This window comes from Homo sapiens, chromosome 2 (genome assembly GCF_000001405.40).
Source record: "Homo sapiens chromosome 2, GRCh38.p14 Primary Assembly".
NCBI classification, from domain to species: Eukaryota; Metazoa; Chordata; class Mammalia; order Primates; family Hominidae; genus Homo; species Homo sapiens.
In genome coordinates this window covers 89,625,236-89,643,993 of record NC_000002.12, presented here as the reverse complement: position 1 = coordinate 89,643,993, position 18,758 = coordinate 89,625,236, and the positions used below count along the sequence as shown (strand labels likewise).

The window sequence follows — 18,758 nt, the reverse complement described above, 5'->3', positions numbered from 1 at the left end:
TTATGTGCATGCATCTGTACTTGGTAATATTGCTGAATGCATGTTTGCATTGACAAAGCCTCTCCCCTTGCCCAAACTCTAGTCGGGATCCTCTAAGCCACCTCTCAGCCTCAGCCTTCAGTGTTCATCCTAGTCTGGCCCACATCTCTCAGGTTTAGGAAGAAACTTGCAAAGAATCCCCCACTCTCAGTACTGATCACCTTTGATATCTGATCAAATTTGTTATCTCCCACCGCCCTCCAGATGATTTCTGATCAGTCTGGCCTGCCTTCAATAAGAATCCTGTTCGATCTGTTTAACCCAAATCCCCTTTGCCCCTGATATTTCCTCTTAGTATCCCCAGTTGAGCCAATTTTCAACCATTAAAAAAATCTTGGACAAAATTAAGTTCAGATAGGTTCCAGAGTGCTTATGTTCAGTTCTTGGCTTTCTGAAGACCTGGCATATCCTCTTTAAATTGCCTCAATACAAGAAAATACAAAATGGAAAGAAGTAGACATTAGAAATTGGAAAAATGGAGAAATACAGGAATGAACATAAGTTTCTATTTCAAGTAATTAGGTAAATTGTAAGATGTTTATATTTAACTTTTTCTCATTAGCTTTAGCCCTTTGAACCTTTGAGAACATGTTATTACTATATTTATCGAATGTTATATTTTTTATTTTAACGTAGAATGGTATTTTCACTCAAATCTCTTGAAACATATATTTATAGTCAATAGTTAAATTTTATTTAATATCAATTGTTCCTTTTTATTAGTATTTTCTTAAAAAAATAATATTGGCCCGGCACAGTGGTTCACACCTGTAATCCCAGCACTTTGGGAGGCTAAGGTGGGCAGATCACTTGAGGTCGGGAGTTGGAGACCAGCCTGAGCAACTTGGAGACAACCTTTCTCTACTAAAAATACAAAAATTAGCCGGGCGTGGTGGCGCATGCCTGTAATCCCAGCTACTCAGGAGGCTTGAGGCAAGAGAATTGCTTGAACCTGGGAGGTAGAGGTTGCAGTGAGCCGAGATCGCACCACCGCACTCTAGCCTGGGTGACAGAGCGAGACTCCATCTCAAAAAAAAAGAAAGAAAGAAAATGCCAGACATTTATTGAAGGGCTGGAATGGTATAGTGAAGTGTTCTGAGTCAGCTGGGCTCTGATTGATAAAGAGCTTGGCATGTTTGAAGGACAGCAAGGAAGCCAGAATAGCTGGAGCATAGCAGCAGGGAGACAAGTGCCACAAGATGAGCTGGAGAAAGGCACTGGGAAAGGTTTGTCTTTTAAGTGCTCTGAGAAGCAATTGAAGATTTGAAATAGAATAGTGACTTGCTTGATCACATTTGTACTTTTGAAAAGTTCCTCTGGCTGCTGTGGGGAAAGGCTTGAGTAGACGCAGGGTGGGAGAAGCATAACCAGCAGTAGACTCTTGTAGCAGGTTAGGTGAGAGATGGTGGTGGCCACGAGTGGGCTGCTAGTGGTGGAAGTGACAAGAAGTAGAAGGATCGGAGACAAAACTTGAAGATAAAAAGTCTTGAATTTGCTGATGATTTGCATTGACGAGGTGTTGGGGGAGAGGACTGAAGGAGCAGAGGAGAGTGACAAGGGACTGGATGCCATTTATAAGGATGGGGAAGACTGGGATGAAACCGGTTAAGGGAGAAATTTTAAACATGGCAAAATTAAGAGGGGTTTTATGTGAGAAAATGGAAATGCTAAGAAGGAAGTTGAAAATCCTGCTAATTTGGAGATCTTTGATTAAAACTAGAAATAAGAATGTGGGAAGCATCAACTTCCAAGATGCCCTCATTGTAGATAACACCATTTAGGATCTAGGCTCAAGCCCTGGGAAACTCCAGGGCTTTGGAAGTCAAATAGAGGAAGAACACGTACAGGAGATGAAGAAAGATTAGCGAGGAAGTCAGTGAAATATCCACAGGTGGGCTGCTGCCAAATCCAGCAGAACAGTATGCCAGATGTTAGGAGCATGAGTAAAATGAGAAAGGAGAAATGGCTTTTGACAACACTTCCCTACTAATAGTAGGGAAGAAGACATAGGTACAGATTCAAGTTGATTTGAAATTATGAAAGTGAGGTAATTGACCTGCAGTGGTTGCTGCTCAGTGAAATCAGCATAGTGATTACCTGAGCTAGGTTAGAGATTTGATGGGTAAGAAAGAACACCTGAGGGTAATCCTGGAGGGGGAAAAAAATAAAGTGTTTGCTGGAGAGAATGAGTTGGATTGCTGGACTTCAATGTGTGTGGGTTGAGTTTGTGACTTAAAAATGAAACCAGTCTGTTGCTTGTGTGGCTTTTCCAAAATACTGTTATTCCATTACCTATCTCTTACCCCAAGAGTAGTCACATTCTTATTTCTGGTTATTTTAATTCCTGGTGGTATTTTTATGTGATTAATGAGATAGTACTTGTTAATTTGATGATATTCTAGAAACCTGGTAAGTACTATGTACCTTGTCTTAAGTTTTGGTTACTTGATTGGTAAAATTATGCATGCACCATTAAATTACCTAATTCAAAATATATTCTTTTATTGTTTGACATTTGTCTTGTTTTTCTTTAAAATGTTATCTTTGTGGAGTAAACATTTTTCTTTATGCTGTTTAGCATCTTCAGATTAGTTCAGGGTATTGCTGAATGTGGTTGTTTGGAAGTAAAATGCTTTAGTATTAGTTATATAGATTTTAATAAGATACTACTTTCTATATAATTTATCAGGTACTTTAGGCATTTTAATTTGCAAATTTAGGACAATTTGCTTTAACGTTTCTTCACTTTTGTCCATTGGATGTAATTTCCATAAAGTATTCATTTCCCTAAGTAAAAACCGAAACCAAACCGACAACTAATGGTCACTGAAGAAAGAGTGATTAAATGCTAAGATTATAATGGTATTTGCATTTTAATGTTACCAGCTCTCTACAGTGTAAAGTTTATGCATTTATCGATTGCTTATGTTTCTCATTGCATTCTTTGGCCTACTGATTTTGGTTGTTTATAGCTATAGAATATAGAATTCCTTATGGTTATCCATTTCTCCTTTTAAGTAGAGTGATAGTTGTTAGAAGTAAAATAACCCCCCAATACTTTCTTCTAGTGTTAATTCTTAAAGTGTGATTGACTTTTATTTACTTTTTGGTGCAGTAATTGCAGTTCATGAGTCAATGTTGATGTCATATAAACCTTAATGTTTAATGTTTCATTGTAGTGATGTCTCTGTAGCAGCAAACATTTAAGTTATTTGTTATACTTAAATGTTTAAATCACTGTTAGTGATTAGCTTATTTTGCCTTCCTTGAAGCAATTTGTCCTAAATTTCCATATGTTTGCATTTGTTTTTGCTGTTCTAAAATTCCTTAGTTGCTGGCTTTGACCTTTTATGTTGCTGAGTTTTACACATCTATTTTCTCAACTGCCATATCCTAGGAGGCTTGGAGTACCCATAATACAGTGAGCCCACCTTCCTGGTCCCCAGACATTTCAGGAGGTCGGGAAATTTTTAAACCCAGGCAGCTTCCTGGCAGTGCCATTTGGAGCATCAAAGTGGTAAATAAAATTGCATTTACATTCATATATCATTTCTGTCTGATTTGTTTTTCCCTACTGGGTGTAAAGAATTAAATCTTTCTTTTCTAGATTGAGCTTCCAGAAACACTTTTTAAATCTAAAAATTTTAATGTAAAGAAATAATATGCTTGCATTTAAAAATCAAGTATACATTTTTAATAGCTCTTTTTATGGTTAATTCCTTTTGTTGTGATTACTACCGGTTTTATGAGGGAGAAGTCCTTGACATGTAGACCAAAAGGTAATTAAGGACCTTTTCATTCATGATATCATAAAACTTTGTTGCTTAGAAAAAAGCAAAAGAAAAAACTCCATTAATTTATTATGTTCTTATGGAGAAGAAATACCAAAATTGTGGCAGATTTCATTGTCTGTTTAATACCTTAAAATGACAAGGCTTTTTCCCCCATGACATTGGTTGATGGCTGTGCCAGTCCTTGAAGTGAGTTAAGTAGTGTGATGCATTTTGAAGAGAAAAAAATTAATTTGAAAAAGTATTAACTCAAAAGTTAAAATACTTCATTGACTGGAGATGACAGTTTTTCTTCATATTCTATATTTAATATTCTGGAATATGGCTGTTTAATTCAGACTAATCAAGGATTTTAAGGAATTCTAGATTATACTTTATTTTCTTTCATGACTGGAAGAACTATTATTTTTTAACCTCCCTACCTCCCCCTGATATCATCCAAGATATTGAGGTATAAATATACCTCATTTGACAGTTTGGTAATATAGACCACCAATTTTTACTTACCTTTTTTCTGGGTCAGCATTTCATGTTTGAGAAAATAAATTGAGAGATTACTGTAGTCTTGATTTTTAATCACTGACTTAATTTTTCAAAAATCTTTTATACCAATTTAATAACAAAACAAACTTGGCCAGGCGCAGTGGCTCACGCCTGATATCCCAGCACTTTGGGAGGCTGAGGGGGCAGATCACTGGAGGTCAGGAGTTCGAGGCCAACCTGGCCAACGTGGTGAAACCCCGTCTCTACTAAAAATACAAAGAGATTTAGCCGTGTGTGGTGGCATGTGCCTGTAATCCCAGCTGCTAGGGAGGCTGAGGCAGGAGAATTGCTTGAACCCAGGAGATGGAGGTTGCAGTGAGCCAAGATCACCCCATTGCACTCCAGCCAGGGCAAAGAAGTGAGACTCCATCTCAAAAACAAACAAACAAACAAACAAACAAACAAAAAACCCAAAAAACTAACCTGACCCCATCTATGTGTTGTGCAAAGAAGCTGATGCACTTCTCAAAAGGGATCTCAAGGAGAGCAGGGTAAGAGAAGACAGGAGTGGCAGTTTGAAACTGGGAGCTGGCTGTATTTATTACATCCAAAGGGAAAAAAGCCATTCCTCCCATTCCTTTTGTTCATGTGTTTCTATTTTATGCTTACAGCATCCTCATAAATTTTTGACTTGGAAACCATTCTGCTAAATAGGGAATAAGTTCATTTCAAACTATGATAAGGGACATCAGTTGAAGATATGACATATTATTTAACTTATGGTGAGGGAAACACCTAAGTATTTTCCTGAGCATCTGGATAATTTTAAATATACATAATTCATCTACTTAGGTAGGTGCCAGGTTTTTTCAAGGAGTAATTAATTAGTACGAACAAGGGTGAGGGAGCAGGGAACACCATACTCTGGTACTTAATGTCTGAAATTATCAGGGAATTTAACACATTTTCCCATAGGTTTATTTCTTGTGTAAGAAGTCAGATACATTATTTCCATTTCAAGTATTTGTTATTCAGATTATTTAAAGCAAAGCTTTCACCAAGCCTTTTGTCAGCTTTCCTGTAATCCTCACATAATTTTTCCTGGCTGGACGCTTTGGCTTACTCCTGTAATCCTGGCACTTTGGGAGGCAGAAGCAGGAGGATCACTTGAGCCCAAGAGTTCTAGGCTGCAGTGAGCTGTGATCACACCACTGCACTCCAACCTGAGTGACGGATCAAGTTCTTGTCTCAAAAATAAAAGTAATAACAATAATAATAAATTTTCCTCTAAATACAATGGTGAATGAGGTAGAAATGTTGAGTTCATAAGAGAACTGTTGAATAGTGAAGGAAACTGACTTAATTTTAATGACAGGAAGAATACTGTTACACACTAGCAAAAATGAACTTTCATGCTGATGTAGCAGTACAGAATATGCTTCCAACCCAGGGACGCTGGAGCCAGGCTTGCTAGCTAAGCGACCTTGGACAAGTTACTTAGCCATTTTATTCCTCAGCACACTCATCTCAAACGAGGATAATAAAACCTACTATATGGGATTGTTGAGAGTAAAAAATACTTAGATTAGTACATAGTAAGTACTCAATAGATGTTAGCTATTACTGTAATCACCGCGAGACCAGTTAATGAGAGAGTTCTTCCTTATCCTTACTCTATATTGAATACAATTTGTTGCACTTCGAAATATCTGGATAAGGCTATAGTTGTTGTCGTCACCGAGAATGTAGGAGTGGCAAAGAGAAAAATCATGCAAAGGCTTGCTGATAGCGTTCACAGTGACAGCCCGAAAGTATGATTCTAAGGTTGTAAGCATTTTATATTTAGAATTTTAAGTTGTGGAATATACTTTTAAAGATAAAAATAATAAGCCAGGTCTCTTAATACTTATCTAAAGAAGTGTTTGTATAACATTTAATAAAATGTTTTATCTCAGTGGCATTTGGATTTAAAAATTATTTTGGGCTGTCACAGAATGTTGACTTTTCCTAATCTGTTACATAGGGCCATGGGTCTGGATTTCCAGGAAAGCGGAGACCTCGAGGTGCAGGACTGTCGGGGCGAGGTGGCCGAGGCAGGTCAAAGCTGAAAAGTGGAATCGGAGCTGTTGTATTGCCTGGGGTGAGGCTTGCTTCATGTATATTTTCTCTAATCTAAATGTTAGTTAATGATGAAAATCTCATAGCAAGTTATTTTGAACTTAAAAGTCATATAAATAGGTCAAAATGTTTATTTTACTGTCCTACTTTGCTTTTTTTTTTTTTTTTTTTGAGCCTCTGGTTACGTTTTCTTGTATATTTACTTTCTCATCGTTTCTCTTTTCTTACCTTCCTCTTTGACTCCTTATCTTTCTATGCCAACCCTCTCTAAAAAGTCAGTATGTAATATAGCTGCTCTTTTATTTAAAAAATTTTAAGATTGATATTTGCTTACTATCATGTTATGAGGCTTTATTTATATGTGTATTACAAATATATTTGTTAACTACTAGCAAACATTTTATGTAATAACTTCGCTATTTTATTAAAATCCTGTTTTTAAAATTCTGAAATGTCATTTTAAGTAGAGGAGACAGGTGAAATTGTTCAAGTTTATTACTAAACCAGGAATAAGGAAGCTTAGATTCTCGTCCTTTTTTCAAAAAGAAAAATTTTAAAACCAGGCTTATTGAGGTATAGTTGATATAAGCTATATTTGACATGTACAATTCCATAAGCTTTGATATATACATATACACCCTTGAAAACGATACCACAATCATGATAGTGAATATATTCATCTCCCAACGTTTCTTCATGTCCCTCTGTAATTTTCTGCATTCCCCCTGCCATCCGTCCTTGTCCCCAAGATTAGTTTGCATTTTCTAGAGTTGTATATAAGTGGAATCATACAGAACTGTGTGCTTTTTGGACTGATTTATTTCAGCACAATTATTTGGAGATTAATCTATGCTGTTGTACTTGTTAACAGTGTACTTCCTTTTCTTGCTGAGTATTAATAAAACTGTGGATGCACCACGGCTGTAGACCTGTGCACTTTTTTTTCTTCTTTTTTTTTTTTTTTTTTTTCTGAGACAGGTTCTCGTTCTAATTCCTGGCTGGAGTGCAGTGGTGCGATCATAGCTAACTCCAGCTTTGACCTCCCACCTCTGTCTCCCAAGTAGCTGGGACCATAGCTGTGTGCCAACACACCCAACTACTTTTTTAAAATTTTTAATAGAGACAGCATCTCACTATGTTGTCCAGGCTGGTCTCGAACTTCTGAGCTCAAGCAATTTTCCCACCTTGGCTTCCCAAAATGCTGGGATTACAGGCGTGAGTCACCATGCCCCAGCCTGTAGTCTTACATTCTTGTAATGTCTTCATCTGGTTTTGGTATTAGCATAACTCCAGCTTCATACAATGAATCAGAAAGTATATTCTTATCTTCAGTTTTCTGGAAAAGTTGTGTAGTAGTGGAAATGTATCTTCTTATATTATACATGAATTTATTAGTGAAACCATCTTGGCCTGAAATTTTCTTTGTGGGGGGTTTTTGTTGTGTTTTCTTTTTTTTTTTCTTTCTTTCTTTTGAGATGGAGTTTCGCTCTTGTTGCCTAGGCTGGAGTGCAATGGCACAATCTCAGCTCAGCAACCACTGCCTCCCAGGTTCAAGTGATTCCCCTGCCTCAGCCCCCTGGGTAACTGGGATTACATGTGCCTGCCACCATGCCTGGCTAATTTTTTTTGTGTGTGTGTTTTTAGTAGAGACAGTTTTTCACCATGTTGGCCAGGCTGGTCTCGAACTCCTGACCTCATGTGATCCACCTGCCTTGGCCTCCCAAAGTGTTGGGATTACAGGCGTGAGCCACCATGCCCAGGCTGGAGTGCAGTGGCATGATCTCTGCTCACTACAGCCTCCACCTCCCAGGTTCAAGCAATTCTCCTGCCTCAGCCTTCTGAGTAGCTGGGATTACTGGCATGCACCAACATGCCTAGCTAATTTTTGTGTTTTGGGTAGAGATGGGGTTTCGCCATGTTGGCCAGGCTGGTCTCGAACTCCTGACCTCAGGTGATCCATCTCCCAAAGTGCTAGGATTATGGGATGAGCCACTGGTGCCCAGCCTGTGGGACAGTTTTTAACAACAAATTTTATTCTTTAATAGGTACCTATTTAGGTTATCTGTCTCTCCTTGCATAAATTTGCACCTTTCAAGAAATTTGTTCATTTTGTCTATCTTGACAAATTAAAGGAATGGAGTTGATCATAATGTTTCTTATTATTTTAATACCTGTAGAATCTGTAGTGATTTCACCTTCCTCATTCTTGATACTAATAATTTGTATCTTGTCTTATTTTTTTCCTGATCAGTCTGGCTAGAGATTTATCAATCTTATTGATCTTCTTGAGTCAGCCTTTGTTTTTATGGACTTTTCTCTATTTTCTTTCCCCTTTCTGTTTTATTGATTTATATTCTCATCTTTATTTTTTCCTATCTTCTCACTTTGAGTTTAATTTGATCTTCTTTTTTTGTTTACTCTTACGTGTCCCTGCTTGGAAGGGACACTTGTGAAGTTTAGGTCAGAGCTTTCTATTCTCCTTGGCTTATATCTGTGGTCTAGGAAAATGAAATTTCTATCACCTTCTGGATAAATCACACTATTATCTATGCAGGCAACAATAGCACATATTTTCTCAAAGATTACCTTTGCCCTCAAGTTAGGTTTCATTTTTCTAGCAGTCTAAAGGTCATGAAATAAATTATAAAATAAAAACAGTGGGTCTTCAAGCTAGATGATACTGTTTTCTTTCTTGCATGGACAATTATTTTAAAATATTTTGGTTTTTCTGCACTTATTATTTAAATATGACTCCCCACCCCCACTTGAATCTAGGGACATTGTAGTTTTCTACTGCAGACTTTGTTTCTGGTTTATACTGGGAATATATTGTTTATCATTTTCAGTGAAAGCATCCACTGGTTAAATTTCCTTTTAAAAATAATAATGGATCTTTACAATTTCTTTGAGCTGCTCAGTGTGTATAATGTGTTGAATTTTCTGTTAGTGGTTGGGAGGTAGAAATAGATACTTTATCTCTATTTTAGCCATTTCCATAATTATATATCTCAATAGCCTTGTCAATGCATCATTAGTCCTATGACTGAATTAATGATTACTTTTAGTAGTCACTTAGTTTCTTACTGGTGATGATGATTCTACTTTTGTGAATCATCTTGGATGATTCTCTAAAATCTTAGAAAGCTAATTTTGTTAATGCTATGCATATAACACATCAATACATTTTCTCTATTAAAAAAATTAAAGCGTTATAGGTAGATCAGAATTTACCATTACTAACTCCTCAGTCCTCCTTATTTCCCTGTTACCAGTTTGGTATATTTATATATTAGGTTGATCCATATGAAATTGCCAATATTATTTCTGAACTGATGAAAAGCAGCAATTTCTTATGATTCAACCTATTATATGTGCCCATAGACTACATATAATGACTTTGCATGTTTTTATATTATAGTGCTATACCTCAAATACTGTTCTGCAATTTATTTTTTCATCAACAACGTCTTTTGATAATTTCTTTCATGGCAGTCTATACACGTTTCTACCTCCCTACTTTTAAAATGTTGCGTAATTTTCTAATGTTTGGATTTGTCATGGCTTTACTTACTTCCTAATGATGAATATTGGCATTATTAACACTTGTAGTCATTAGGGTTCATATGACTATAAATTGCTCTTATAAAGCATTAGTACTATCCATTAAAACTGCTTTTAGGCTGGGCACGGTGGCTCATGCCTGTAATCCCAGCACTTCGGGAGGCCGAGGTGGGTGGATCGTGAGGTCTGGAGATCGAGACCATCCTGGCTAACATGGTGAAACCCCATCTCTACTAAAAATACAAAAAATTAGCTGGGCATGGTGGCAGGCGCCTGTAAGTCCCAGCTACTCGGGAGGCTGAGGCAGGAGAATGCCGTGAACCTGGGAGACAGAGCTTGCAGTGAGCTGAGATTGTGCCACTGCACTCCAGCCTGGGTGACATAGCAAGACTCCATCTCAAAAACAAACAAACAAAAAAACAAACAAAAAAAACCTGCTTTTAAATGTATTTGTATTGAAAAATACTGAGATATAGTCCTTCTATTTAGTTAACCAACCAACCTTCCTTCCTTCCTCTTTTTTTTTTTTTTTTTTTTTTTTTTTTTTTTTGAGACAGGGTCTCCCTCTGTCACCCAGGCTGGAGTGCAGTGGCGTAATCTTGGCTCACTGTAACCTCTGCCTCCTGGGTTCAAGTGATTCTCCTGCCTCAGCCTCCTGAGTAGCTGAGACTACAGGCGTGTGCCACCACGCTCGGCTGTTTTTTGTATTTTTGGTAGAGACAGGATTTCACCATGTTGCCCAGGCTGGTCTCGAACTCCTGAGCTCAAGCGATCCACACACTTTAGCCTCCCAAAGTGCTAAGATTATAGGCATGAGCCACCACACCCAGCTGGTTAATCTTTCAGTTGTTCCTCAAGAAAAGTAATTCAGTCGTTTTATGTTTTGACCTTGAACATAACCTGTTGTGTTTCAACTCTGTCTTTCCAGGCTTCGGTTGTAAGCTTTTTAAAGAAAGAGGATTGTATTTTATGATTTTGGCAGTGCCCTCCTTGTCTTCTTCTACAACTTCTAGTTCAGAGCTTTATTTTGTTTCATATCACTCTAGAAATTATTAACAAACCAGTGGCTACTTAGTTGATTTAGTCAAATAGAACTAAGTCCAGACTGAACAATATTGGTTGATAATCATTTGGCTGATACTGAAATTTGGATGTTATTCAAAATAATATTCTAAAGCGGTGCTAATAGAAATATAATGAGAACCACATATGCAATTTAAAACTTCCTAGTAGCCACATTAAAAAGTTACAGTGAGCTGGGTGCAGTGGATCATTTGAGGTCAGGAGTTAAGAGACCAGCCTGACCAATATGGTGAAACCCCGTCTCTACTAAAAATACAGAAATTAGCTGGGCGTGGTGGTGGACAACTGTAATCCCAGCTACTTGGGAGGCTGAGTCAGGGAGAACAGCTTGAACCAGGAGGCAGAGGTTGCAACGAGCCGAGATCGCGCCATTACACTCCAGCCTGGTCAACAAGAGTGAAACTCCTCTCGAAACAAAATAGAGGTTATAGTGAACAGGCGAAATTAATTTTAATGCCTTCCATTTTGACCGATATATCTAAAATATTACCATTTCAACATGTAATATGTAATTATGTGCTGTATTTTATGTTTGCAGGACATCTCAGTTCAGACTAACTACATTGCAGATCCCAAGTGTGTGTCATTAAAATAGTGATAGATTTGTGTGTGTACATACCTATAATATTATCATTTATAGTTTCTTGATTAGAATTCTGCATAATCAAGTCTTACTAAGACAGGTTTATTATATTTTCTCATTACTTCTTGGTCTAAAGGAATTCTACCTCTAAAGAGAGAATGAGTTGAATAATAAAATGTCATGACTCCATTTTGCTGTAGTATCTTAGCATTAATATTTGGAATTGTTATTCTAGACCTTAGCAAAAATATATGTTTTGATTATGAATTTTCTGAAGCTTTCCAGTTAAGTGCAAAACAAGTGAAAAATATAACTTCGTATTTTGTGTATTTTGCTTTTTATAGGTGTCTACTGCAGATATTTCATCAAATAAGGATGATGAAGAAAACTCTGTGCTCGATATGGTTGTGTTGTTTTCTAGCAGTGACAAGTTCACTTTGAATCAGGTTTGAACTTGACAATTTACTGTCTTCCTCATTGAATTCCTCCTTGCACATTTCTGCTTTATCTCATATACACAGAAGTGATCCAATATTTAGCTATAGAGCTATATTAGTTAAGAAGGTATTTTTAAAGTAAAATTTGTAGGTTTTTAGCTTAGTCTCCATTTAAAATATGTTCTGTTTTCTTAACTTCAGGATATATGTGTAGTTTGTGGCAGTTTTGGCCAAGGAGCAGAAGGAAGATTACTTGCCTGTTCTCAGTGTGGTCAGTGTTACCATCCATACTGTGTCAGTATTAAGGTAAACATCCTTAAACTGAGTTAACAAATATGTATTGAATTTGTATTTGGTTTTAGTAGTAACATGAGCTCCCAGTTCTCACAATTAAGTATTATGATTATTAAACATATGTGACAGTATTTAAGTACTTTAAATACTGCTTTTAAGGGTTTCCTATCTCAAGAAATTTGCTCCTCTATAAATCTTATATTGTACTAATATCCTGCTTTTGTCTTGAAAAAGTAAAACATAAAAATATATGCATTTAATTTAAAAGACAATTTATACTATTCACAAAGATTTTAGGTTTAGCTGATTCATTTTGTCTGTTGATTTATAAAGCTGAGAACTGGAGTATTTAGTAAAAAATTATTAGCCCATTCTGTTCTTTCTCACATTCTCTCTCCTCTGTGCTCACTCATATACAAAATGACATTTTCTCCTTATAGCCAAAAGAAAGAAAACAAGTGTCATATTTAATGCAATCGGTAATAATCGAGAGTCAGCACTGCTCACTTTCAAGCATTTCAGGATAGAGGCTTTCTGGGGAAGCTTTTAAGTGGTATCGTGTGCTTGGTTTTAAATATGGACAGGTCTCAATACTTCACTAGTTGTATCTAAGGTTCTTGGTTTTTTCTTTTTAAGAACTCAGTCTTAATAAAACTTACATATTTGAATAAAGTGTCATGGCCACTGGAAGCAAGCATGGAGGTATAGCTGTACAGCAGAGGTCTTAAACTGTATACTCCACAAGGAAATCTTTTCTAGTATTGCCATACCATGTAATATAAATACTAACCTCAGTTTCAATAATAGGTTGTGAACCATGAGTGATTTTTATACCATTCTCCCCCGCCCTTCAGACATCACTGTTATATCATTGTCAGTAAAATGTCAGTATAGTAAGCAAATCAACATTATCTCCTTCAGAATTCTTTGTTGATAACTACACTAGTATTTATTTTATAGGGTAATACAGGTTTTTGTGAATTTAGGAATCAAAATGAAAGATTGTAATTAATACTATCCAAAATAGAAGACTAGTACGGTTAATTTATGTAGTTTTTTAAAATTAGTTGCTCATGGTATGTGACTGAAAAACACAGAGTATATAAAGCCAATTAAAAATGGAGTTATATATGCATAAAACATGTTTCTTTTCTTCTTTGTACTTTATATTCTGTATAAAAGTAGCTGCTATCATTAGATTTTGTTTTTTAGAATGCTTAATGTTTTGGACCTAAGGAAATTGAATAAGATCCCTTCCAAGATAGTAATGTATTTCTTTTAACCCATCCAACAATTACCGAATTCCCATTTTACAGATGAGTACGACTTACATAAGTTAAGATTGGACAATTAGTGTACTATCAGACACCTAGTTATTCCTGTTTTTAAAAATTATGTGTGGTTCCTTTTACATGACACTGTTTCGGACAGTATATAATACTGCAGTCTCATTGAGAAATACAGCAGTATCTAGAAATATACTAGGGATATGTGAATTGGCTCAGCTTGCATTTTTATTGCAGGAGGCAATTGTTTGTGGATAAGTTTGATACCTTTGAAGCTTCTTTTTAAGCTTGCTGGGGCAAGTCTAGAAAGCCTTCACTCTAAGGTGGATATTTTCAAACTTTATGGTTTTAGAACCTTAACACTCTTTAAAATTACTGGGGACGCCATAGTTTTTGTTCATGAGGATTTTAACTATGGACTATTCAGCATTTTAGAAATTAAAACTAGGAACATTTTGTAACACAGGACTACAGAAGCACAACCTGTACAATGTCAATGTAATATTATGATACAACATGTAGCTTCTATAAACACCACTGTATAATTGTGAATAAATTAAAGTGAAAAAAGGCAAATTAAATCTTAGTATTATTTAAACTTGTTTTAACTTTACAGACCCACTGGGGTTCCCTAGTCCACATTTTGGTAGCTGCAGTCCTAGCATTAGTTTAACCCTATACTTAAGACTTGGCCTTTCTGGGATCACTACTGAATTCTACCCCCTGTTCACCAGTGTCTTTGTACTCTGACTGGTTGTGCTTCACTTGTCTTTGAGCCTTTTGCAAGCTCTGGTAATTGTGCAGCTTACAAATTCCCAGTAGATGTACTTTCCCCTGGTTGTGGGTCTTTGGGCTTCTAGAAGTACGGCTTGGTGTTCCACCAAAGACTTCAGGGGATCCTTTGTAGATTTCTGGAGCTCTTAGTCCTTATTGCTTCTTCATTTTGAGTAGTGTGTCCTGCAAATTCCACTGCCTCACCTTCCCTAACCTCAGCGAGGCCATTGATTGTACTCTGCTGAGGTTCTCCCTCCCTGGGCAGCGTTCTGGAAAATGTTTCTAGGCAGAATATCATAGGACTCCCTGAGTGTTTCCTTCCTCTCAGAGACCACTGTCTCCTTTACTATGTGTTGTCCAATATCTGAAAACAGTTGTTTCACACACTTTGTCCAATTTTCTACTATCTTATGGGAAAACAGGCTGGTCCCATATACTCCATTATCGTTGAAGCATGTATCCGTATTAGATTATAAAACATATCTGTAACAACTTTGGACATGGTACCATGGATGGAATCCTGGATGACATCTTATTTGAAAAAACTTTTAAAACTAAGGCTAAACTGGTTCAACAGAAGAAAAAAATGATAGTACAACCCCAGTAGCTAAGTTAAAAGGAAATTTCAAAGATGGAGAAATTGTTGAAGTGTTGAAGTACTAGAAGTCAAGAAACACAAACACTAATGTTTCCATTAGATTTGAGAATAAGAAGGTATTGACAAGCCTGGCTTAAGCAGTTATGAGTGGATGTGGGTGTAGAGACCAGACTGTAGTGTTTTGAAGAGTGAATATAAGCGGAGAAACTTGAGAGTTTGGTTGTAAAAGGGACCACAGGTATCTGTGAAGAAAACTTAGTAGGAATGAAGATAAATATTTTAAAAATGCTGCCACTAAACACCTCAGATCTGTCTGCCACTTTGTCTTCAGGTCATTGTTTAAGCCAGGGTCAGGCAGACTGGCCCATAGACTAAATCTGGCCCATTTCCTGTGTTTGCAAATAAACTTTTATTGAAATATGGCCAAGTTCTTTTGTTTACATATATTTGTAGCGGTTTTTGCATTACACTGGCAGAGTTTTTATAAAGTTGCAACAGATCATATGGCCCTCAAAACTTTCTGTTTACTCTCTGGCCCTTTATTGGAAATGTTTGCTGGCTACTGCTCTAAGCCACCCTGATCTTACCCCAGGCCATTTCCTTCATTTGGGCAAATAATATACTAACTTGGTAATCTAAGACAAATTCTTAAAAATCAATAAGCTAATCAAAATAATAAATATACATGTTTAAAAATCAAATGACATTAAAAGCCTCGTAATGGGCCAGGTGTGGTGCCTCACACCTGTCATCCCAGCACTTTGGGAGGCCGAGGCAGGTGGATCACTTGAGGGCAGGAGTTCAAGCCAGCCTGGCCAACACAGTAAAACCCCATCTCTACTAAAAATACAAAAATTAGCCAAGTGTGGTGGCTCATTCCTCTAGTCCTAGCTACTCAGGAGGCTGAGCCAGGAGAATTATTTGAACATGGGAGCCGGAGGTTGCAGTGAGCTGAGATCACACCACTGCACTCCAGCCCAGGCAACAGAGCAAGACTCCATCTCAAAAAAAAAAAAAAAAGGCCTTGTAATGAACAACCAACTCTTGTCTTACTCTACCTCCACATCTGAGGGAATCACTTTTAATCTTTTCAGGTCTTTTTTCTTGTGGTCAATGCTATAGCTCTAAATAATCAACTGGTTTGCTGCTTTATCAATGCTAGATTTTGTTGACTTTCTGCTATGAATAAATAAATTCTGATTTAGGTCTTAAAATACACCTCCTTCCTTCTCCCAATATAGTTGTATTACTATGTTTAGTTCAATTAATAAGGTGTTGGTTATGACTCAGTAAATGTTCACTGCAGATCTAAACAGTATACTATGAGTTTCTTTTGTCTTTCATGGAGTTTTTAATAACAAGAAAGTAATAGTGACTCTCCATTCGTTCTTTGTTTTTGCCTACTATAGAACTATCATATAAGATTATTTTTTAAAGTACTGTTTTTTTCTGGGAGAAGTCCTACCCTCTTTCTAGACATTCCCTTCTCCTGCTCTGATATGTGCCAGTGGCTTCTGGGTGTGTTGTTCTCATCCTTAAACTTCCCTGGCCTGATGTCCTTTGTCGGATCTGTTGATTTATAGATCCCAAGTCTTCCTTTTCTTTGTAATACATCCTCATTCTGTTCCGCATATCTCTAAGTAACTTTATTAGAAGGAGAATGAAGGAGCTGAATTTTGAGTCTTCCTGTGTCTACAACGTATTCTGTCTTCACACATAGTTGCTTGTGTAGCTAGGTTGAGAATTGTACTTTGAAAAGTATTTTCCTGTAGAATTGGAAAATTATACTCTTCTAGCATCTGGAGTTGGGAAGTTTTGTGCCATTCTGATGGGTGTTCCTTTGAATTTAACTCTTTTATTTTCTTCTCTGGTAGCTTTTAGGCTTCCATGTACCTCATGATCTGAATTTTTATTCTGTACCCTCATTACTTGCTGTTTCATTATAATATGGGCACTTGATTGGTTCTGTCTGAGGATCCTAGTCTTTTGAGATCTTTAAGAAGTTCTGCAATCTTAATATTACATGGTGTGGCTTCCTTCAGGAGTTTGTTAGGGATTTGGAAATTCCCAAATATTCTGCTAACTTATACCCTTGAGAGAGGGGAGAATAAACAGAGGAGTGAATGTGAACTTCAGAATTCCTAGCTTCATAGTCTAAATAGAAATCTTCTAAGATCATAAAATGTCCCTAAGAACTCATGCTTTACATTAATTTTTTGGTATTTTTTCTATTGATTCTAAGCATGGAAATGCAGATGGAGATTTTGTTGATGTATTTTCAAATTATGTATCAATAATAGTGAAGCTTACTTGATTTCTTTAAAATCTGGTCACTATATCTATAAATACAGTGGACATTAAATGTACAGCATAAGGTAATTATGTGGACTTTAAAAAGGCATTAAAATATGTGCCATTTTCTATTATTCTGCTCAGTAGGCTCCTAAAAGCGTGTATGAACATGCCCAACCCAGTATTGGGCCTCCGTAGGTGCTCAATAAATGTTAGTTGATTGCCCCTTTCTGCTTCTAGGTACATAAGCACCATATTAATTTATATAGTATATTTGATTATGTTAGGTTAATGCATAAATCACATGGATTGGTTGTTTCTTTTACAGATCACTAAAGTGGTTCTTAGCAAAGGTTGGAGGTGTCTTGAGTGCACTGTGTGTGAGGCCTGTGGGAAGGCAACTGACCCAGGAAGACTCCTGCTGTGTGATGATTGTGACATAATTTATCACACCTACTGCCTAGACCCTCCATTGCAGACAGTTCCCAAAGGAGGCTGGAAGTGCAAATGGTTCTCTAGGGTTTGTTTGCCTTGTTAGTCTTTCAAGTTCAGAGCTTTCTCATACCACTTTAGTTTTTAAAACTAGTTTTAAAAATAGTTTTAGCCATACCTATTTAATTGAATAATACACATATTCTATGATAGATACCACTAATCAGAAAAATTTTCACATACACATTAAATCATTTGCCCCATTATGTTCGTATGTAGCTTCCTGAATTACAGTAACTGAATAACTAAGAAAATAAAATTGAGACTTTTCGGGGGGATTTGGATTTCAGGTGTGTTTGATGCAGACACTGTGGAGCGACATCTGCAGGTCTAAGATGTGAATGGCAGAACAATTACACACAGTGCGCTCCTTGTGCAAGTTTATCTTCCTGTCCAGTCTGCTATTGAAACTATAGAGAAGAAGATCTTATTCTGCAATGAAGACAATGTGATAGGTATTGTGCTATTTTTTCATCTTTTTAAAGCTTTTCTCTTTGAAATGTAGCAAAAAAAAAAAAAATGGAAAATAGCTTTTCCTTAATCACAAGTTTTAGGTACAGAGCTTTTTGCCTTGTAGATTTTTGGTCACCTAGAAACTTACAGAATTGATTTCCTGTTTTGAATTCTCAACTCCAGACTAAAGTTTTGTTTTGTTTTGTTTTGTTTTGTTTTTAAATTTAGAGACAGAGTCTTGTTCTGTCGCCAGGCTGGAGTGCAGCGGCGCTACCTCGGCTCACTGCAAACTCCACCTCTGCCTCCTGGGTTCAAGCGATTCTCTTGCCTCGGCCTCCAGAGTAGCAGGGACTACAGGTGCATGCCACCACGCCCAGCTAATTTTTGTATTTTTAGTAGAGACAGGGTTTCACCATGTTGGCCAGGATGGTCTCCATCTTTTGACCTTGTGATCCGCCCGCCTCAGCCTCCCAA

At 36.9% G+C, this 18,758-nt stretch overlaps 1 pseudogene and 1 further gene across 1 annotated transcript; one reads left to right on the top strand and one right to left on the bottom strand.

Annotated features, from left to right (window-relative positions):
* IGK (immunoglobulin kappa locus) overlaps positions 1-18,758 on the bottom strand; it is a 1,378,008-nt gene that overhangs the window by 591,375 nt on the left and 767,875 nt on the right.
* Positions 6,087-18,549, top strand: KMT2CP4 (lysine methyltransferase 2C pseudogene 4; annotated as a pseudogene). The gene is made up of 6 exons (NR_136329.1): positions 6,087-6,137; positions 6,337-6,453; positions 12,003-12,104; positions 12,297-12,401; positions 18,122-18,286; positions 18,513-18,549. The product of NR_136329.1 is annotated as a lysine methyltransferase 2C pseudogene 4 (transcript).